Source organism: Homo sapiens, chromosome 7, assembly GCF_000001405.40.
Source record: "Homo sapiens chromosome 7, GRCh38.p14 Primary Assembly".
Lineage (NCBI taxonomy): Eukaryota > Metazoa > Chordata > Mammalia > Primates > Hominidae > Homo > Homo sapiens.
The window spans coordinates 89,218,589-89,242,005 of record NC_000007.14 but is presented as its reverse complement, the minus strand read 5'-3'; the positions used below and the strand labels follow the sequence as shown (position 1 = coordinate 89,242,005).

The following is a 23,417-nucleotide window of genomic DNA, read 5'->3' as shown; positions in this document are numbered from 1 at the left end:
GACCTGTAAATTAAGTTTTACAGGATAAGTAGGAAAAGCCTGGAGAAGAGAAGTTGGTGGAAAGTGTGAAAGATCATAGCATATTGTTCCTTTAAGAGAAAAAAAAAAAAAAGAAAAAGGTAGACTCTTCCAATAACCATTCATTGAACATTACCCTGTAGTGTTTGTAGTGATTAAAATAGGACTGCAGAAAAAAAAAAAAAGACTATTCTCACTGCGTGAAAATGTGTGACTAGCAATGGAGTTGCAGGCATAAAAGAAAAATGTGTGAACTCTTCATATGCAACCCTCAGATTTATCACATTGGTGACCACTGGCATGGCTCTGTCCATGCAGTAAAAAATAGCTCATTCTATTGAGATATAGAGGGAGCAAAATTATATTTGGGAGAAAGTACTCAGAGGTTAAAGACAGCATTTATTTTAACTAGGTACAATAGTATTAGAGTACCTATTATGAATCAGGTTCTGCACATTTATTTAATTCTGCCAAAACTCAAGTGTTGTCACTACTTCATAAATCAGAGAGCTATAGCTTCAAGGAAATTAGTGAGACAGACTCTGAAACAAAGATTTGAGGGTAAATAGTGTATTTCAGGGGGCCAGGAAACACTGGCAGGGAGTAGAGGTAGTGGTTCAGAGAAGGAAAAAAGCACCAACAAAGGTTGTTATGAAATCAGCTACCTGGAGTGAATAATTGAAGCTTCATCTCATGGAAAAGTACTGGAACTTGGGATAAAACCTATGCTTCAGAATTCTCCTGTTTATAAAGGGAATGGAATGTTTATATTCAGTAGGGTTATTTGTTAGGGATTTGGGGGAGTAAAGTTGTATTAAGTCCAGCCTCATATCTCTTCTACGTAAGAGCAGAATGGCCTTCAGTGGTTTTAGGAAGTAAAACAACAGTAAAAACAAAAACGAATGCCTCAGACACAGAGACAGAGATGTAGGTACTGACAGTTGGGAGAAAGTTAGAGGACACTTGAAAGGCTTGAGTAATACAGACACGGCAGTGCCAGCATCTGCTACAGACACTGTAGAGTTTGGAATAGCAATTAAAAGTTAAACAAAGAATAAAGCATGGCTAGAAATGGACTAAAGTGGGGTGAGCCTATTGTGTCTTTTAAACAATAAACCAAGCATACTTTGGAATAATGAAGGCCTATCTTCTGAAAACCAGTGGGTAAAGCAATTATAAAATAGAATGAAATAGGAAAATTTTAAGTACTCAGCAAGAAATTATGCTCTGCTCCCATGGGTTGAAACTATGGTCTAGTATTTATACTCAGTGTAGAGAGCCAAGGAAGATGAAGATAAAAGTGGAAAAAAATGCAAGGTAAAGAAGAAAAATCAATTGAGATGCACTAAATATAAAATGAAGAATATAAGCAGAAAATATAGGAACTATGTCGATTATAAATCAAGCAAGAGGTCAAGTAAGGAGGGAATTCATTTCTAAATCATAAATAGTAGAGGTTATTTAGGGAGAGGTGAGATACATTGACAACTATGTAATGATTTTTCACTTAGAATATATAAGAATTATGTTAGCAGTACAAAACGCTCATTTTACAGAAAAAAAAGAGAAAGAGAGAAAAAAAAACTTTCACCTCAGCATGGGATTTACATGAACAAACCCACGCAAAGCTCACATAACCAAAAGGGAATCTGATAGACATAGCCTTTCTATTGCAGTATCAGACCTAACCCACAAGAGTTTGAGGAAGCTAAAGTACTTATTCAAGCTAGAAATACAGGCTAGGTTCTGTTACTACTGACTAGCAAAATGACTTTGAAAATTATTAAATATCTGTAGAACTCAGTTTCCTACTTATAAAATGACAATTTGAATATGATTATTTGTAAGTTATTGTCTGAAAAATAAATCATGCTTCTCTTTTAAAAATACTAGTAGTAACTAGAAATCAAGACATTTTATTCAAAATATTTACAATTAATTAATTATTATTTTATCCTAATTTAATGTGCAATACATAACTCACAAGAATAGAGAATTTATTTTAATTGAGAAGTTAGATACCATTAATGACATAAGAATGTATTTGCCCAATATTAAACACTCAGTTGAATTATAAGAGACCATATATAATACAGTTATTTCAATGAAACACTAGATTTTTCAATGAAAGTTTCAAAACTAATGTAATAAAAATGTCAATCTATTAAATTTTATATATATATATAAAGAAAAATGACATAATATAGACAGAAAGTCCACATTGTTAAAAGTGAGTAAAATTATAGGCGAAACTTCTATTCCCCACTCAATGTATCTGTAGATATAAATAAACTAATCTACATATGGGAACCCTCATAGATAAATGGGTCTATCGATGTGACCAAACACAGAATCAGTCATTCAAAAACAGCTGATTTATCCAAATATTTTTAAGTAGCTTAATTTTATATTCAATTGATAAGTTCCTTACATGTTCAGAAGCACAGTAAACTGGCCAGTGATATACATTTAAGGTATTCTAAATAGCTGGATTTAGAAAAGTTGAAGGGCTGTGCTGTTCTGAGGACATATGAAGGGCTGAAAACCCATGAGAAAAAGCTGAAGAAAAAGCAGGAATGAAGATTTAAGAGCGACTTGAACTCTGGGGTATCAGGCCCTCTCTCAAGGCATATTGCCAATTCAAAGAGAGGGAGAAGAGTTCAGAAATGATGTTGTGGTTGCCATCTCATTTCCTGATTGGCAGTTCTGCATATGTGTGTGCCCTCTGCTGACCCACACACCTGTCCCATTCAGTTTGGGCATCCTCAGATTTGACAGACTCTGTCCTGCACAAACCAGTCCCTTATCATGCCTACAGTTTCAACTAAATTTTTGTACTCACTCTTATAAGATTCCAGGCCTCTAGGGCTCCCTGAACTAGCATTACATTTAGACCCAAGTGAACCCAAATGACAATAGCTATTTTTAAAAACATAAAACTCCTTGTTGTAGAGAAGTGATTAGATTTATGGTGTGTGGCACCAGAAGACAAAATCATAGATATTAAGAGTAGATATTACAAGAAGGTAGACTTGAAGCTCAATGGAAAAGATATTTTCCAACAACTGAAGCTTTAATAATTGAGGATCCTCCTGCAATAGTCTGGAAAGTCAGGTCTGCCACCTTGACCTAGCCTCAACAACACCCAGGGCATCTTCATTTCCCTAACAGCCCTAACTCCACTGGGTCTAATTTCTAACCTTTGATCAACATCACTAGTTCCTTAATGTGTGCTTCTGGCCTTCTGAGAACCACTGGAATAAGGCAGACATTGTATTAACTACTCAACACAAATCTAAACCAGCATGATACGTACAAGCTTTATTTGCCCCTTGGCAATATTTCTGTTCAGTTTATAGAGATTCTCTAGTTGAGTGGTTTTTGGGATTTTTTAACTGCACCCCACAGAAAATATCCTTTTTATTTCATGACCCAGGATACACATACATATAAATTTAACTGCAACAAAATTTCACAAAACAAATTTGCTCTTACAAAATGCAGTGGGATGTAATATTGTCTGTTTCAGCCTATTTTATTTTTGAACATTACTAGTTGCAACCCACTAAAATGATTCAATGACTCCATAATGAGTCATGACCCACTCACAGATCACAACCCTTAGTTTAGAAAACTAGTAGTTTCATGAATTTAGGGATGATGTTCATCAGATGTAGTTTCATAAATTTAGGGATTATGTTCATCAGATGATTCATAAAATCAACATCAGACATCAGTTTTCTCATCTTCCTCTCTCCATTTCAAAATATACATTTCTATAAACATTCCCTCATTAATGCCCTTGTTCTCAGAGTTCTGCCCCTCCTCCTTTCCATGTCTGCTTTACTTGTGCTTTGATCTAATTCCACTTTGCCTACTGAAAACCCCTTGCTCTATTATCCTCCCTCTCCTTACCTGCATTCATTCGTGCATTTTGAATCTTTTTTGCCTTACTTGATTCTTCCCATCTGCAGACAGATATGCTCAGATCTCTAGTATTTGTGAGAGGGGCAATTATTTTCTTAACTTGTCATTTGTCAATTAACAGTTTCTTCTTTGTGAAACTTGGTAAATGGTTTTAAACTCTTTATTCTTATTAGAGTACTTTTGTGTTTATTATCTCTCTGTCTGGATTGTGAGTATCTGGAATAAAGCAATTGTATATGACAGATCTTTGGTGTGTAATTTTCCCATAGCATATAGAGAAGTGCTGGCAGCAATCACCTTGCACCGAATAGTTGGAATAGTTATAAAACTTCATGACAGGCAGTTCCTATGGTCCAGTTTCTCTGGAGCACACCCAGCTGTGAACCTAAGATTGACAGTTCTGACTCAGGCTTGGAAGCCATTGACTACCCCACTACAGCTTCTCTGAACTGTACTTATTCCTGCACCTTCTGCCTAGAGCTAACATACTACACAAATGAATTTGTTTAGAAAATCAAGATAAGAAAAATAAAGTTATATTTGTTTAGGAACTTATGAAGTACTTTAACATGCTTCATCTGAACTCATCATCATCATCACATCAACATTTTCAAGTGGATGGGACAGATCTATGAGCCTCAGATAGATCACACCTAAGGAAACTGAAGGTATTCAGTAAGGATGAATGATGTGACAGAAACCAGAAAACTAAAAAGTGATTGGACTAGGGCTCAAATCTAAGTCTTCTAACTGAAAACATGGCCTTTTCACTGTATCAGGCTATTTCCACAGTAATGAGTCAACCATATTTTCTTCTAATCAGCTAACTATATACACATATTTTGAAAATTACAAGGCCTGAAAAAACATCAAGCTATAAATGTTATTGTTATTCATGTTTACATTATACCTTATATTTTTAGAACTTCTAAGTTTCTTCACAATTTTTTTTTCTTCTGGGTGAGATATGTGTTATTATCGTAATTTTCACATGAATATTAAAACTAAGAAACACAATGTGACATTACTAAATTCTAAGTGTTTATTAATGGTGGAGTCATAGCTTTAGACTTTGGGTTGCTATTCTGCCTACTTTTCCATACTACCTTCATGTCATTAGCAATGTATTAATCTTTCCTAATGTTTCACATGTAAAATCTGAAAAATAAATTTAAACTTTAAAATTATATTAATTAGAAAACAATAGTCTAACCCCAAAAACAAGACTTCCAGATTCTAAAATTACTTGTCAGAATATTTTTATGGAATTGCAAAAAGAATACAGCGAGATGAGCCATGTTCATTTCCTTATATAAAAGCACCATCTATTAAATCTAAGAGAATGATTTCATAAAACTTAAATTATGTATGCTAATCTCAATTTATTCTCTCAAACATAAACATAATTTTAAATCTCACTATGGTTTGGGATTCTGAACTCTTTGTATTTTACCATGAATTTAATATGACTAATGTGAATTTCTAATTACACTAAATGACCAGGTGAATGTCACATGTGCATCAGATAAATTGGAAAGTTCTAATTTTAATTGCCTTGAGAATTATTTCTTTTCTCTATATATGTATGAATGGAACTTTGCTGTCCATTAATGATTTTCATATTGATCTTATTTTCTCTTATTTTAATCACCATGGGGAATTTTGTAATTTTCATAACAGTTGGCTCAATATGTTAGATTTACATGTATACTTATCTTACATGCTCTCCTCTTCTCACCTCACCGCTCTAGGAATCATTACATATGCTCAAGAGTCTACTGGTTTCCAAATGAAATCTGGATATCTAGTTACCGTGCATATGGAAGCTTCCTAAAGACTAGAGACATGTCTTACTTCAGTTTTCTCCTCAAATCACATTAGGCAGATCTTTGCAAATGGTAGGAGCTAAATAAATGTTGATTGAATTTAATCAAATATGGAGGCCAAGTAATGATAAAAATTTACCTGCTGAGGTCATTGACAAATATTATTACACCTACTAAGCATTATAACTTGATGTGTATTTGAGAAGCTACAAAAATTTGGGAGCCAACTTTGAAAACAGATATATGGTTTCCCCCACAAAACATACATAAAGAATGTGGTTTTGATACAAAATTTGTTTAAAATTTTCTTTTTATCTTATTTTAATGTTAATAGACTTTATTCTTTTGATACACATTTATTTACTACCTATTTCTAAATATTTGTTCTGAGTACAAAGACATTGTGGGAAGCATTCAAATAAGAGTATTTCATTTCAGTTTAGTCAATTGTTACATTCCTCAGAAAAAAAAAAAATTGGGGCCTAAATTAATATGGTCATCAGGTTTTGCCCACAGAAGGCAAATATATTTCAGCCTCAAACAGTTTTTTAAAAAACTGTCCTAAAGAATAGGTGACCATCACTGCTATTATTATAGCCAATTAAGTTCTTTTTTTCAAATATATATCTGGATCCAGGATGTTTTTGCAAAGGGCAGCTTTTATACTGCTCAAATTTAACACACATTAGTTATTCAAAATTGAATCTCAAATGTATTCCAGTTTCCTTAATTGTGTTTGAAACATATGGAATTATTTTAAGTGGAGGGTAACTCAGATTTTTGATATGGATTTAGTCCATGTGTACCACCATGGACCATTGTGTCCCACCATTACTTCGTGTGAAGTTCTCTTTTCGTTTACTTCCATTTAGCTTTTGACTTTATGGAGAAGACTTGACAATAATTTAATATGTGAAAGTGCAATATACACCTGCATCTGCTAATACCTAATGGTTTTATAAGGTTCTTTAAGATTCAGATATTTCTATATTTCTCTGGAAAAAATAAACAGAAATTTCTAGTTGAGTGAGGAAAGGTTTGATTATATTTTTACTTTTTTGTTTTGTCATTTTATGATATTGGATAAACTGGAAAACTGATGCTCTCATAGAGAATAAAAAGATAAGGAGACAATTACATGCAGATTAAAAATAAAAATAAAAAATATATTTTTACTATAGAAGTATTTATTGGATTAAGCACTGCATTGAGAGAGTTTATGATGGTGTAATAGTCCAAATTCTCCAGAGAGAGAGAACCAATAAGAAATAAGAGAGAGGGTTTATTAGGGAAATGAACTCACAGAGTCAGGGAAATTTCATGAGAGGCCATCTGCAAGGTGGAGAACCAGAGAAGCCAGTGGCATGGATCAGTCCTAGTCTGAAAGCTTTAGAATCAGGAAAGACAACAGTGCATCTCCCAGTCTGAGGCTGAACACCCGAGAGACCCCAGGAGGCTGCTAATTCAAGTCACATAATTCAAGAGCCAAAGAACCTGGAGTCTGATGTCCAAGGAAAGGAGGAGAAAGGTGTTTCCTTATGGAATGGGGAGAGAGAAATGGGAGTGGGGAGAGACGAGGAAACAGAAAGAGAAACAGACAGAAACCCCTCGCTTTCATCTGCTTGTTTCTATTGGTCCTGTATGACACACCAATTTCCTCTGGAAATGCCCTCACTGACATACCCAAAAACAATGCTTCACCAGCCATCTTGGCATCCCTCTAGCCAGTCATACTGACACTTAATATTAACCATCACAGGTGGTATTTAATTTCATGGAAATCTTATATAGTAGGTATCATTTACTATTCAAAGAGGTTAAGTAGATTATACCTAAAGTTAGAATCTAGTTTGATATTAAGAGTGGGTAAAGACTCTGGGTATGGAGTAGTAGTCAATTTAATACACTTCCTCCCATTTAGCTAGCTATTATGAAAGAAAAGGGGGTTGACCACAATAAAAAAAAAAAGAAAAGGGAATATCACAGAAGTATAATTCAAAAGAAACAGATCATTTAACATATATACACCTCAACAATTAATTGCCATATCTTTAATACCTCTACTTAAAAACAAGCTCATTATATTAGCTAGGCTTATCTTGGATTATAAGTCAAAAAATTATATTGAGTTAAAACTCCTAATGATTACTTACTTACATGGCTTTTTGGCTAAGTTGAAGAATTAGCTCCCTTTTGCAAACAGGTATGACATTATGTCTAAAATTAATAGATTCACACTCCATTGTGGAAAATGCTAAGGCTTTTACTCTATGCACTGGAGTAGACACAAAACTACTTCTTAAGAAAAAACTGGCAGGGAGCAATGGCCACACATGTGATCCCAGCACTTTGGGAGGCCGAGGCAGGCGGATCACCTGAAGTCAGCCTGACCAACATGGAGAAACCCTGTCTCTACTAAAAATACAAAATTAGCTGGGCATGGTGGCATGTGCCTGTAATCCCAGCTACTCAGGAGGCTGAGGCAGGAGAATCACTTGAACCCAGGAGGCAGAGGGTGCAGTGAGCCAAGATCACACCATTGCACTCCGGCCTGGGCAACAAGAGTGAAAGTCCATCTCAAAAAAAAAAAGAGAAGAAAAAAAGTTAGCTCTCTTTTTCAGTGTTCCTCCAGCCTACCCCTCAAACTGAAGCCCACCCCCACATTGAGGTAGGCTTATTTGGCCTTCATTTATTTCATAATATGGCCAAACCATGTAAGTACACCTTTAAAATGCAAACAAAATGGCTATAATCAATACTTCTCAAGAAAATATCAAATTCATGATTGTAAAATATTTATCAAAAGAGGATTTCATAAAAAATACATTATATATTTATTTTTCTGTTCAGAGTTACTTTCTAAGTCAGACAACCACATGTCTGTGTGCTCTGGCACAATTTTATTGGTTCCCCATAGAATTACTTTAAGAAACTCATTATTATATTAACAGTTACTCTAAGGGTTCAGGTTTGGTTAAAAGCAAATAAACCTTTAAAAAAGAATAAATTGGCCAGGCACGGTGGCTCACGCCTGTAATCCCAGCACTCTGGGAGGCCGAGGCGGATGGATCACGAGGTCAGGAGATGGAGACCATCCTGGCTAACACGGGGAAACCCCGTCTCTACTAAAAATACAAAAAAAAAAATTAGCCAGGCGTGGTGGCGGGCGCCTGTAGTCCCAGCTACTCGGGAGGCTGAGGCAGGAAAATGGCGTGAACCCGGGAGGCGGAGCTTGCAGTGAGTGGAGATCGCGCCACTGCACTCCAGCCTGGGCGACAGAGCGAGACTCCATCTCAAAAATAAATTAATAAAAATAAATAAATTACACACAAAATAAGGAGAAAGTATATTATACATATCAAAAGAGAAATCAGAAATCAATGGCAAGTAGATTTTTAAAAAGAAAATAAATGAAAACAGATTTTGTTTGTAAAGATTACTAATGTTCATAAACCTTTAGCTAGACTTACTGAGAAAAATAGAGAAGACAGGCGTCACCAAAGCAAATAATGTAGGGGATATTAGATAGGGTATATTAAAAGTATTATGATAAAATATTGCATATAATTTTATGCCAACAAGTTTTTGACAACATACATGAACTGGACAATACCTACACAAAGACAGAAATTGCCAAAATCGAGCCAAGAAGAAATAGAATGATCTCAATAAATTTTCAGTAAGTAAAGAAAAGAGTACCTAAAAGTAGCTTCACTGGTAAATTCTATTAAACATTTAAAGAATGAATAATAACTCTACAGAAACTCAGGAATTGGAAGAGCAAGAAACATTTCCCACTCATTTCTAATTCTAGTATTCGATACCAGAGCCACACACATATCTCAAGAAAGTGAACTATATTTCTCTCAAGAACAGAAACACAAAAATCCTTAACAAATCATCATCAATTTTAAATCCTATAAATTATAAAAAAGATGTTATCCACCATGAGTGAGATTTACTCCAGAAATGCAAGGTTGAATTAATATCCAAAAATTCAATTAATATCTTATACCACATTAACAGAATAAAGAGCAAGCACCACGCATTCATCTCAGTAGATGCAAAAAAAAGCATCTGGCTAAACGGAAGCCCGTTTATAATTTCAAAATAAATAAAACACCCTCTCAATAAACTAGGAGTAAAAAAAATGCTTTCATTCTCATAAAGGGTTTCTATTAAAAACTTATAACTAACATCATACTCAATGTCAAAAGAATTATCTCTACCTACGATTCAGAACACAAAAGTGGCCATTTCTGCATCTTTTATTCAACACCACATTGGAATTCTGTGCAAGAAAGAACATAAGTGCAGGCATATAGCTCAAAAAGAAAGAAGTAAGACTGGCTTTATTTGTAGATGACATGTTCTTATATACATAAAATCCTAAAAGTCTAACAAAAAAGATGCTAGAACTAACAACCAAGTTGAACAAAATTACAGGATCGATATAAAATAGTAATATTAATATAAAAAATCTATTGGATATTCATGTAGTGGCAACAAACAGAAAGTCAAATTAAAATTCCCTTTCAAATAGCATAAAAATCACTAAAATATGTGTCATATTTAACAAGAAAAAATGTGTAAAATAAAAACTACACAAGATTTCTGCAATAAATTAAAGGCAATTTAAGTAAACAGAGACATATATGTATAAATTGGGAGACTCAATATGGTTAAGGATTAAAATTCCATCAAATTAATCTAAATTTAGTGCAATTCCTATCAAAATCCAAATAGGTTTGCTTTAGAAATTGCAAACAGAATCCAAAAGTTATATCAAAATTCAAATGACTTAGAATCGCTATGACAATTGTTAAAAACAAGAGCAAATTTGGAGAACTCATACTATCTAATTTCAAAACTTGCTATAAAGTTACAGCAAATAAGATAGCGTGGTAATGGCATAAGCATAAACATATAAGTCAAAGTAATGAAATAGAGAATCTAGAAATAAACTTATACATTTATGAATAATAATCTTCAAACAGTGCTTCCAAAGTAAATCCATGAGACACAAATAGCATTTTCCTCAAGTTATGTTGGAACAACTGGATATCTATAAGAAAAAAATTGAACTTGGGCCCTTGCCTCACATCATGCACAAAAATTAATACTCAAAATTAGATCATAGACCTATATTAGGAAACTAAAATTATAAAATATTCAGAGAAATATAAAAATACTTTGCAATTCTGGGAGAAAATATTTATACACCTTGTATCTCATAAAGGATTTGCATTCAAAATATATGAAGAACTGTAAAAATTCTTAAACAATAAGGCAAGCAACCAAGTTAGAAAAATTAGCACAATTTGTGAATAGAAACTTCACCAAAGAAGATATGTAAATGTTAAATAAGCAAATGAAAATATGTTGCATATTATTAGTTTTTGGAGGAATCAAAACAAATCACAGTGAGATACCACTACACACATACTATAATGATTGAATAATGTACAGTTAGGAAAAGGCCTGTAGCTTCTTTTAGAAAATCAGATGTATGTGGATGTCCAGGTGTTTCAGCACCATTTGTTCAACAGAATATCTTCTCCATGGAATTACCTTTACTTCTTTGTCAAAGAGCAAGAGTTGACTATATTAGTGCATGTCTATTTCTGGGATTTCTACTCTGCTCTGTTGATCTATTGATCTATTCTCTTGACGATACCATACCGTCTTATTTACTTATTTACATACTTAGTTTTATAGTACTTTTTGAAACTGGATCGTGTTAGCTCACCAACTTTAGTTTTCTCCTTTAATATTCAGATAATCTGTTTTCTTCTTGTATGAGTTTGGATAGATTGTGTCTTTTAAGAAATTAACATTTCATCAAAGTTATCAAATTTGGGGGGACAGAGTCACTTATACTATTTCTTTATTATCCTAACTCGCTCATTCTCTCTCTCTCTCTCTCCCCCTCCCCATGTCTATCTCTCTCCTTAGTTAACCTGATTAAAGATACATTAACTGTATCTTTTTAAGAGAGTCAGCTTTTAGTTTCATTGATTTTCACCATTGGTTCTTATTTTTAGTGTTATTGATTTCTGCTCTAATTTTTATCTCTTCTGTTTACTTTGAATTTAATTTGCTGTTCTTTTTGCAGTTTTTTTGGTAAGATCTTAGATTATCAATTTTTGATATTTCTTTTTTCAATATAACATTCAACACTATAATTTTTTCTAAGCACTCTTTGCCGCATTCCACAAATTTTACTAAGACATATTTTCATTTTCATTTGGCTTGAAATATTTGTACTTTTTTGATATTTATTTAATTCGTGTGTTTTTAATCTCCAAGGGTTTTGTGAGTTTCCAAATATTTATTACAGGTGTCTAGTTTAATTACATTGTGATTTGAGAGCATATTTTGTATGATTTTTTATTTAAAAACTTTTAATGTGTATTTTTTAATCATAATTTAGTCTTTCTTGGTGAATGTTTTACGTGAGTTGGAGACGAATGTATACTCTTATGCTGTTGGATGAAGTATTCTATAGATATAAGTTAGATCCAATTGATTGATGTAACTGTTCAGTTCAACTATGTTCTTACTGATTTTATGCCTGCTAGATGTGTCAGTTACTGACAAACAGGTATTGGTATCTCCAAGTAAAATAGTGGATTCATCTGTTTCTCTTTGCATTTCTATCAGGTTTTGCATCACATATTTTCATGCTCTGTTGTGAGTTGAATACATACACATAAAAGATTATGTCTTCTTGGAGACATAATTCCTTTATCATTATGCAATGTTCCTCTTTATCTCTGAAAATTTTGCTTCTTGCTCAACTCAGCTTTGCCTGAAATTAATGCTGCTCTTCCAGCTAGTATTCACGGTGCATGTTTCTCTATTAGTTTTCTTTTAATCGGTCTTTATATTTGAAGTGGGTTTCTTGTAGACATCTCAGAGTTGAGTCTTTTTTGTGAACTATTGAGAGGTGACAGCGTGCTGGCAGTCCTCACAGCCCTCGCTCACTCTCAGCGCCTCCTCTGCCTGGGCTTCCACTTTGGCGGCACTTGAGGAGCCCTTCAGCCCGCCGCTGCACAGTGAGAGCCCCTTCCTGGGCTGGCCAAGGCCGGAGCTGGGTCCCTCAGCTTGCGGGGAGGTGTGGAGGGAGAGGCGCGGGCGGGAACCGGGTCTGTGCGTGGTGCTTGCGTGCCAGCGCGAGTTCCAGGTGGGCGTGGGCTCCGCGGGCCCCACACTCGGAGCAGCCGGCCGGCCCCGCCGGCACTGGGCAGTGAGGGGCCTAGCACCTGGGCCAGCAGCTGCTGTGCTCAATTTCTCCCCCGGCCTTAGCTGCCTTCCCGCGGGGCAGGGCTCCGGACCTGCAGTCTGCCATGCCTGAGCCTCCCCCTACCTGCTCCGTGCGCCCCTGTGCCGCCGGAGCCTCCCCAACGAGTGCCACCCCCTGCTCCATAGCGCCCAGTCCCATCGACCACCCAAGGGCTGAGGAGTGTGGGCGCATGGTGCAGGACTGGCAGGCAGCTCCACCTGCACCCCGGTGTGGGATCCACTGGGTGAAGCCAGCTGGGCTCCTGAGTCTGGTGGGGACATGAAGAATCTTTATGTCTAGCTCAGGGATTGTAAATACACCAATCAGCACTCTGTAACTAGCTCAAGGTTTGTAAACACACCAATCAGCACCCTGTGTCTAGCTCAGGGTTTGTGAATGCACCAATCGACACTCTGTATCTAGCTACTCTGGTAGGGACTTGGAGAACCTTTGTGTGGACACTCTGTATCTAGCTACTCTGGTGGGGAGGTGGAGAACCTATGTGTCTAGCTCAGGGATTGTAAACACACCAATCAGCGCCCTGCTAAAACAGACCACTCGGCTCTACCAATCAGCAGGATGTGGGTGGGGCCAGATAAGAGAATAAAAGCAGGCTGCCTGAGCCAGCAGTGGCAACCTGCTGGGGTCCCCTTCCACACTGTGGAAGCTTTGTTCTTGCGCTCTTTGCAATAAATCCTGCTGCTGCTCACTCTTTGGGTACACACTGCCTTTATGAGCTGTAACACTCACTGCGAAGGTCTGCAGCTTCACTCCTGAGCCAGAGAGACCACGTACCCACCAGAAGGAAGAAACTCCAAACACATCCGAACATCAGAAGGAACAAACTCCAGACGTGCCACCTTAAGAGCTGTAACACTCACCGCGAGGGTCTGCAGCTTCATTCTTGAAGTCAGTGAGACCAAGAACCCGCCAATTCTGGACACACTATGACAGTCTTTGTCTTTTAATTGTGTATTCAGATTTTGAAAGAAAACAGAGAAATAGATTGTAGAGGAAGATATTATCAAAGAAATAATATTAAAATACCACTTTTCTAAAACAAATGACATATTTTTTTCCCTGTTGAGAGATCTCATGGAATGCCCTGCACAATAACTGGAAAGCCATCCAAAGGCAAGTTGTTCTAGACTGTTAATGTGTTAGGAGTATTTGGAACACTAAATGGCCCTATTTCCCAAACTTTCCATTTGGCATTCCCTCTGTGTGGAACACTCTCTCTCTCTCAGAGAGATGGCTCTATGGGTTGCTCCTTCATATCCTTTAGGCCCTTGTTCATAATTGCTGTTTAATTAAGGTCTTTACTAAAACCCCTAATGAAAATGCTATTTACCCCACTGTATTCTCTGTACACTTCAATCCTTTATTTTTCTCCATAGCATGTAGAACATCTGATATCCTATATATTTTTTCATATTTTATATGTTCACTTTCTTTTTTATACACTCTCTATAATGTTAGCTCCATGAGGATGGAGATGATTGTCTGGTTCACTCCATAATGAATCTCCAGCATTTGGAATGGTGCTGGGCATACAGAAGGCACTAGACCAATTTTTGTTGTAGGAAGAGATGATGAAAAGTTTAAAGGTTTCCTGAAAGGAACAATTAGGATACAAGATGGCATATAGCTTCTCAACAATAAAACTGAAAGTTACAACTCAGTTTGAAAATAAATCAACTGCGAGGGTAGAATAAACACATTTACTGATAGACAAGGATCCCCAAATTTTATCTCATATGTATCCTTTGTTAGGAAGCCCTAGAGGATAGGTTCCACCAAAATCAGGAAATAAAGAAAACATAGCCATGGGATCAAGGAAACAAGAAGTGTAATCCAGGATAGAAGCAAAAGCATTTACAAAATAATGGTGAAAATAAGTCCTAGAACAATAGCTATGCATCTGACCTGATGAACAAATTGTCAGGATTGGAGCAGAAAGACGGAGGCCTTTACTATATATGTGTAAGGGAAGAGGGAGAAAGGACTAATTGATTATCTGACTTATGTGATGTTTTTAATGAAACTTTGTTCTTATATATGGTATATAATTCAGGAAAGAATGAGTAATAGGCAGTGATGCAAAATTGATGAAATATAAGAGTCAAGCAATTTCTAACTCCAGGAAGAAGATATACTCATAAAGTCATCATAGTATGTTATGAAGCTCAGTTGGAAAAATATTTACAAGTCACAATAATGTAAATTCCGAGTATTTATTTAACAACACAATAAAATATAGATCTCTATGGACTTATGAGATATAACATTAAGTGAAAATATATGAAGACTATTATGTATAGCATAACCACATTTTATGTTGTTACATCATAGTTTGTGATTGGATAGTAAACATTTAGAGACTTATCTGAAAAGATGTGAACCAAATTATTATTAAATAATTTTAAATATTTTTCTACACTTCTGTATTTCTTGATTTTTAACATAAATTATCTAATAATAACTTTTAAGAATTACATTTTACATCATCTATTTTTAGTAGACCCAAAACATTAAGTTTAATTCTAGCATATTATTCCAGTTTAAGTCCACCATAATTTAGCCACTCTCTCTTCATTGTATGTTTAGATTGTTTCTAGTATTTTTCTAGTTTAAATATCCTTATACATAAATATTTGAAATTCATCTGATTATTTTCCTAGGATACTTACCAAATGGAACTGTTAGTAAGAAAAATTTAAATTTAAGCCTTTTCATAATAATCAAAAGTGGAACGCTGAAGAATTAAGACAATTTATACTCTCATAAGCAATGTTTTCTCACACCTTGTCAACACCGGGTGGTATGATTCTTTTTTTCACGCTTGACATATTTACCTTTTAAAATCTCTTCAAATTTGTATTAGTTGATTACTAGTTATGCAAAACATGTGTTCACATTTTGTAATCCATTGACAATTTTTAGAATCTATCCCTTTCTCTTCCCTCATTGTCATTGTTATAAAGACTCCTATTGTCTCTCTTGAACTCTTGAACGCTTATCTCATCACAGAGCCAAGCTCTCCTTCTTGTGTACCAACATAAACTGCTTTTAGGATTATTTTTCTAAATCACAAATCTAGTCATATCATTTGCTTGCTTAAAAGTCCTTGAAGATTAGCAATTTTCCACAAAGTCAAGTCTGAACATACTGGGGTGGCACACCTTGTCAACAATAATATGGGATCAAATATTTTCTTAAATTATAAAAATGTCATTTCATGACACCTTTTGTTCAATAATCATAAATAACTTGAGATTAGGCACCCCATATGTTTACCACAGTATTTACTCTGTTCACTTAAGAAATGATTAGTCAATGATAGGTCAATGTATTGACATAGGACAGAGTGAAATGGTCTACTCTAAAAACCAAGTTATTCAGCTACTTTTTCATTTAAAAAAAATCTACTGAATGTTACTATGTGCCAGAAATTGCTCTAAGTTCTAGAGACACAGTGGCTAATAGAACCATGCCCTTCCCTTTATAAGGTTAATAGCTGGGAGTGGAGTATGAGGACAAAATTTAAAAAGTAATTTTTTTTCTTTTTAAAGAATAATAAGCAGTTTTCTGCTGGTCTATCAACTCTTTCAAAAAACCAAACAAAACACAGAAAGCCCTGACTTGTAGTGTTTGTAGATATCCTATTATGGCTGATTTCAATCTACCAATAGTTAAACAACCAGCTCACAAAGTTCTTGAATATTGAACAGCTGGCTCTGGCCATTACAAGGTACACCCCCACTGATAGTGGCAACAGGACATTAGAACTGGAAAATTGGTAACTGACTACTTAAGGTAAAAGGGAAATGTCCTACTGAAGAGGTGACATCTAAGCTGAGACACAAATGAAGAGAACGAGAACACTGAAGGTCAGATAGAAGAATTTTCCAGACAGAGGGAACAGTCAGCTATAGCCAGTGTCATAAGGTAGAAGGAAACTACTTGATATATCTGGAAGTCAGAAGGAGCCAGAATGCAGAATTTTTAATATATTTTTCAGTAAGGAGAACCTTGAGAGCAAAAAGCCTCTTGGCTAAGATACAGACAGTAATTTGGGAGAGTTAAATAGGAGCAGGAAGCTAAGATCACCTTTGGTTCTTTTGTCTTATACTTCTCTGCTAATAAAGGTTGCAACTACTGCTGGGTGATTCCAGGATACACACACACACACACTCATACACACACACACACACACACACACACACACACACACACATACTTTGCCAGAAATATTGGTTTACAGAATGCAAAATGGAACAGGAGAGAGTATTATTTTATGGTACTGAAGGTATTCATTCCAGGCACTCCAGTCTTTATTTCTTCAATGTTGCTGACCCTACCACTCATCTACACTTTGACATTTTGTTAGCACTTTTAGAGGACTAATAACTTAAACATACTATATATCACTTGGGCAGTATTTGGGGAAAATATAAATCAAATTGCAGAAACAAAAAAAGGGAATTAGATTAAATTCTTTTAGCAATTTTGGGGTATTTTCCTCTTAAGGTCAAGATGACAATGGTAGTTCTGTTTTGATATGTTATCCAGAGCAAGTAGAGATGGGGTGAATCCAAAACAGTATTTTAAACAATGAATCCGTTGGAGTTCAAATCCAGGGCTTGACAAGTGAACAGCTCCTTCTGGGTAAAAATAAATCCTATTGTGAAGCAAATGGAGATTAGAAGGATGAAGCGTCACATGTGGAGGGTTTCAAAGTGGATTTGTTTTTTATTATTAAAGATATTTTTTATGGGTTAATTGTACAGGGATCTGGCTCATTTGTTTTTTCAAAATTGAGATGAGTCAGAATGTCCCTGGGGCAGGAGAGAGTTCTGCTGCATGTGAGGATGTGTATTATTCATCCCAGTAATACATTTGCAGCTAACAATCTTGAGAAAGGGATTATGACTTCTAGGTAGTCTCACAAGGAATTAGCTGTTATTGACATGTTACCTATATTAATAGTTACAGTTCTGTCTTTATCTAAGTGATTATAATTTGTATACACATTCAAACTGCATTAGGAATAATACTCAACATTTACACAGAATTTTAAGAAGTTCAAGGCAATAGCTAAGATATTGAGTTGTTTCCAAAAACGTGAGCTATATATAGAGTGGCTTGTCAAAGCTAGAAATTCATTATTTTTCCTCACTGAAGAAATTTAAAAAATCAGGTGTGTTATTGATGAGCTGCCTTTCTCTACAAATAATACTTAAGAAAATATCTTAATTTTTTTTTTGGAGACAGGTCTCACTGTGTTGCCCATAGTGGAGTGCCATGAGGCAAAAATAAATAAATAAATAAATAAATAAATAATCTTAATTTTTATTCAAATTATAGAAAAATATTTTTAAAGCTCCAATGGAATTCATTTAAATATATGTATCACATACTCTTTTACTTTATTTCTTGAAGTTGTGTGTTGACTTACTCGTCTAGAATTACAATATAACCATGAAAATATAATCTTTGTGATAAAATAAACACATGATGCTGACAGACGATAATAACAAATGCTTCAGAAATTACTTATTAAGCGGTGGGATCCTGAGTAATTATACATGAATGAAGGAAAAGCAGAGAAGAGTATTCATAGATTATTTCGTTATCAGATCTAAGATGTTCTATTGATGAGTAATAGAATGGATTTCATGAGCATTTGGATTTACTTCTAAGTGTACCAAAAAGAGCATATTTTTGGAAGGTCAACAGAAGAAGCCAGCTAGTTCATCTGAATCTACATGGAAAGTAAAATTATGGCAACTGTTCACGTTACTCAGGCCAAAAAATAGCCAAATTTCCACCACCACCATTATAATCATTATCATAATCAAGAAGAGCTCTTAAAGAAGAAAGAACCAAATGGACAGATTTAGCTTTGAAATTTGAAAAAATATATACTTTTGCATGATTTACTTCAGTGTAACTCAGCTTCATCCAAAATTGAGGTAATTTTCAAAATATTTTGGGCTAAAATAAATCTTTAAATGGAAGTATTTCAATATTATCCAAGAAAGCAGTCTAACAAAGTTTATAGCAAATTTAATTATTCCAATGTTTTTTAAAGTGGGAAGCGTATACAAAAATTCTCAATAATATTAATAGATTTCAAGCAAAAGGTATTTTTAAAATTCTGTGTTAAATTAGTTTACCATGAAATCTCAGCTATTTTAATATCCCATATAAGTTGTCAATTTCTGCATTAAATATGCAGAAGTATGTGTTGAAAAAGAGACACAAGACAAGAGGGCACTTCAGGGAGAGAGAAGATAATGATCCAAGATGAGCATGTGGGAAAGCATAAGACATGTTTGAAGAAACTGTAAGGAAATTCTGGATTTGCAGAAGATAAATCTGGAAACGGAGTCAAGAGCCAGATTGTGGATTTGAATAGCATGATAAGCAGTTCAGACCCTTTCCAAAATCAGTCATCAAGCACTAAAGATTTCCTAGGAAAAGAGTGATCATATAAATGGGATAGTTTGAAAAGACTTATCTGGTCATAAGTGGATGGATTGGTGTGGAACAGGAAAAATACTGGAGGTGGGGAGTCCAGTTTGAAGACCTCAGCAATAATTTAGAAGTGAGATTAATTATGATGGTGGAAATGAGAATGCAAAATGAAAAATGAGGACAAGATGCACTGCAAAAAGCAGAGGTAAATAGGATGCAGTTTCAAAGATTTCTAAAGTGATCCCCAAGATAGTGATGATGGCCTTAAGCAGCCATAGTGAATCATTTGCTTCTTCATAGATTACGCTTTTTAACTGCCCCCATGCCTTGATAATAGGTTTTCTACCATATAGGACCTATTATTCTTGAGTACACAGTTAGCTTCTATTCAGTCTTTAAGAAATCCAGCTCATTTATCTTCTCTTCTTTCTGGAATCAGTTTTGTGTGCTCTCTTTTAAGTGTCCTACGTATAAAATTTTTACAACACTTAAATTAATGTATCACAAGATCTACTGATTTGTCTTCTCCTCATTTAGATTACCAGCTCCCTGAAGGTGGAAGCCAAATGTGTCGCTTTTTCACAATGGACACAGTAGCACACAGTAGAAACCGAATCATTGTTTAATGAAGGAGAATACCCAGGAAAGTTAGAATGACAGAAAGTCAATAAACAAATGAAACAAGCAAATAAATGAAAGATGGAAGTGTGCATATAGATAGAATAGAATAGAATAGAATAGAATAGAATAGAATAGAATAGAATAGAATAGAATAGAAATATTGAGGAAGGTTGTTTATCAACATGTTAGATAGCTAATAGAAATAAGATTGAAGAAAATGATAAAAAAACAAATTGATTAGGCAGGATTCCAGAGTACACGGGATGCTGTGGCATGCAGACCTGATATGGAAGATTCACCCCAGGTAGTTCAATACTTCCTACAGTTCTCAAAAGATGCCTCATGCTCTTCGATTTTCTCACCTTAGCTTCTATTCCCACTGACAAGAATGCCATCTCACCTTGATCCTCTATTTTAACATCCATTTATACGTGTGTAAGGCACAAATCAAATTCCACTGTTGCATGAGACCTTTCCTGGTCTTTTATTTCTCCAAATCCCTGAATAAATTTTTCTTAATATTCAGCCTGAAAGCCACCTGCATAAAATCCCACAGGCGGTGGTGCTTATAAGAAGTTTCTCTTTACAGACGTAATCTATCTAATATATGTAGCAGGGGTAAAAGAATTTGAATCATCATTTTATAAATACAAATAAAGATATTTGAGCAAATGATCATTGATGTCTACGAAATCATTAGTGAGAAAAAAGCCAGTGGAAACTTAATGATAAATGGATCAATAATCTGATAGTACCTCAACTCACTCATCAAACTTAAGATTATAAAAAGAGAGACAACCAGACATTATATGCCTCCTTATGGAAGGACACAAAATACCCTCTAATATATTCTTGCCATGAAAAAAATATGTCTGAATTTGGCCAAATCTCTATCCATAAAAACCAGTGAAAAGGAAACCAAGGAAAATGTTGAAAGATAACAGTGAGTAGAATTTTGCATAATCCCAAATGTGAAAAGGAACTGCAAAATGTACAATTTTAAAAGAGATGGAAAAACCTATAGATTAAAATATACCAAAATAAACTTCAAGACATGCCAACCAAAAGTGTGGATATTTAGGGATCCTAATTTCAATGAACTCAAATTTACAAATCATTTATAAGACCACTAAGGTAACAAGAGCACTAACTGGTATTTAAAAATTTACTGTTGATTTTTAGGTTAGATAATAATCAAAGCATCAATTTTAAAGCATGACCATATATCTTGAAATACTTTTAGATAAAATGATATACCATCTGGCACTTGCTTCAAAATAATGTAACAATGGTGGAGGTGTGGTGAGCGATGATGGTATAAATCAAGCAAGATTGATTATCATTGAAGTTGGGTGATAGCCATTAGTTCACATTTATATACGTTTGAAATTTTTCATTTTCAATTCATTTTAAAATATAGATTGCTAGATCCTATCTCAGAATTATTGAACTAGAATATCTGAGGAAGATTCTGTGAATCTGAACAATTAACATATTCTGAGGTCATTGTTATGCACACTAGGATTTGGGAATTACAATCCTAAAACAGTTTATCTCATTATCTTGCCCTTGTCAGAGAAACGAAGCCAACTATATACATATATCTTACGTTTAGGGATAAAAGCTGTGTCTTCGTCAGGCTGGCATTTCCCAAGGATATATATATATACACACATATATATGTGCGTATATATATATGTATATACACACATATATGTGTGCGTATATATATGTATATACACACATATATATGTGCGTATATATATGTATATACACATATATGTGCGTATATATGTATATATGCACATATATGTGCGTATATATATGTATACACACATATATGTGCATATACATATATGCACACATATGTATATACATATATATGCACACATATATGTATATACATATATATGCACACATATATGTATATACATATATATGCACACACATATATACATATATACACACATATACTACATATACACACATATATACATATATATACATATATATTTAGTATACACTCAATATAATGCTAGTGATGTCTGACGAAAGATTTATTTTTGTTTAATCTGAATAAATATTTGAGATAGAGTATACAAGACTTACCCACACATTCCAACATGCCAGGTCCATTTGGTATCAGGAATGTGTACCTTGTTACAGCTGTTAGCAATAATCTTTGGCCACATGAAATTTTTTTTCTCAGTCGGTGGTATTTAACATTCCTAAATTGCCAGTATCGCCATACCTCAATCAGCAAGGATAACATCTAACCAGATGAGAACAATAGCCTCTTCCTTCACATTTGGAGAGTAGGTAATTTAGGCAGCCATATGTAGTATATCCACACTAATAATATAGATGCCCATATGATCTTTCAAGTAAATAAACTGAAATGTTTTCACCTGTGATTACCCCTAGGCTTTTCCCTTTTGGATTTTTTGTTTGCCTGTTTTCAATGTTTCATTTATTAAATAACAACTTTGACTTTCTTAAGAGAGTATGCTTAGGAAAATGTAATCTTTTATTGAGAATTGCTTTCCCAAAGACCTAATATTTCCTATAACTTAGAATCCTTGAAAGATGTAGACTATAATAGATTCTGTAATAGATTCTGTCCTAATACTAGTCCAGGATTCTAAATCTGTCACTAACTAGTTAAGTAACTTTGAATAAGACATTATTTTTCCTGGGTCCTGGTTTCCCTACATACAGTTGACCCTTGAACAAAGATGTAGACTATAATAATAGATTCTGTCCTAGTACTAGTCCAGGATTCTAAATCTGTCACTAACTAGTTAAGTAACTTTGAATAAGACATTATTTTTCCTGGGTCCTGGTTTCCCTACATACAGTTGACCTTTGAACTGAATGGGTCCACTTACATGTGGATTTTCTTTGACCTCTGCCACCCCTGAGACAGCAAGACCAACTCCTCCTCTTTCTCTTCCTCCCCAGCCTACTCATCATGAAGACAATGAAGATGAAGACCTTTATGATGATCCACTTCCACTTAATGAATAGTAACAATATTTTCTATTCCTTATTTTCTTAATAACATTTTCTTTTCTCTGGCTTACTTTATTGTAATAATATAGTATATAATACATGTAACATATATAAAACATGCATTAATGGATTGTTTATGTTACAGTAAACTTCTTCCTGGTCAACAGTAGGCTATTAGTAAATTTCTGAGGGAATTAAAAATCATATGCAGATTTTTAACTGCAAAAGTTATATGTGGATTTTTGACT

General features: G+C 34.6%; 1 protein-coding gene across 1 annotated transcript in view; it reads right to left on the bottom strand.

Annotated features, from left to right (window-relative positions):
• ZNF804B (zinc finger protein 804B) overlaps positions 1–23,417 on the bottom strand; it is a 578,829-nt gene that overhangs the window by 96,523 nt on the left and 458,889 nt on the right. The gene's annotated exons all lie outside the window — the stretch shown is intronic.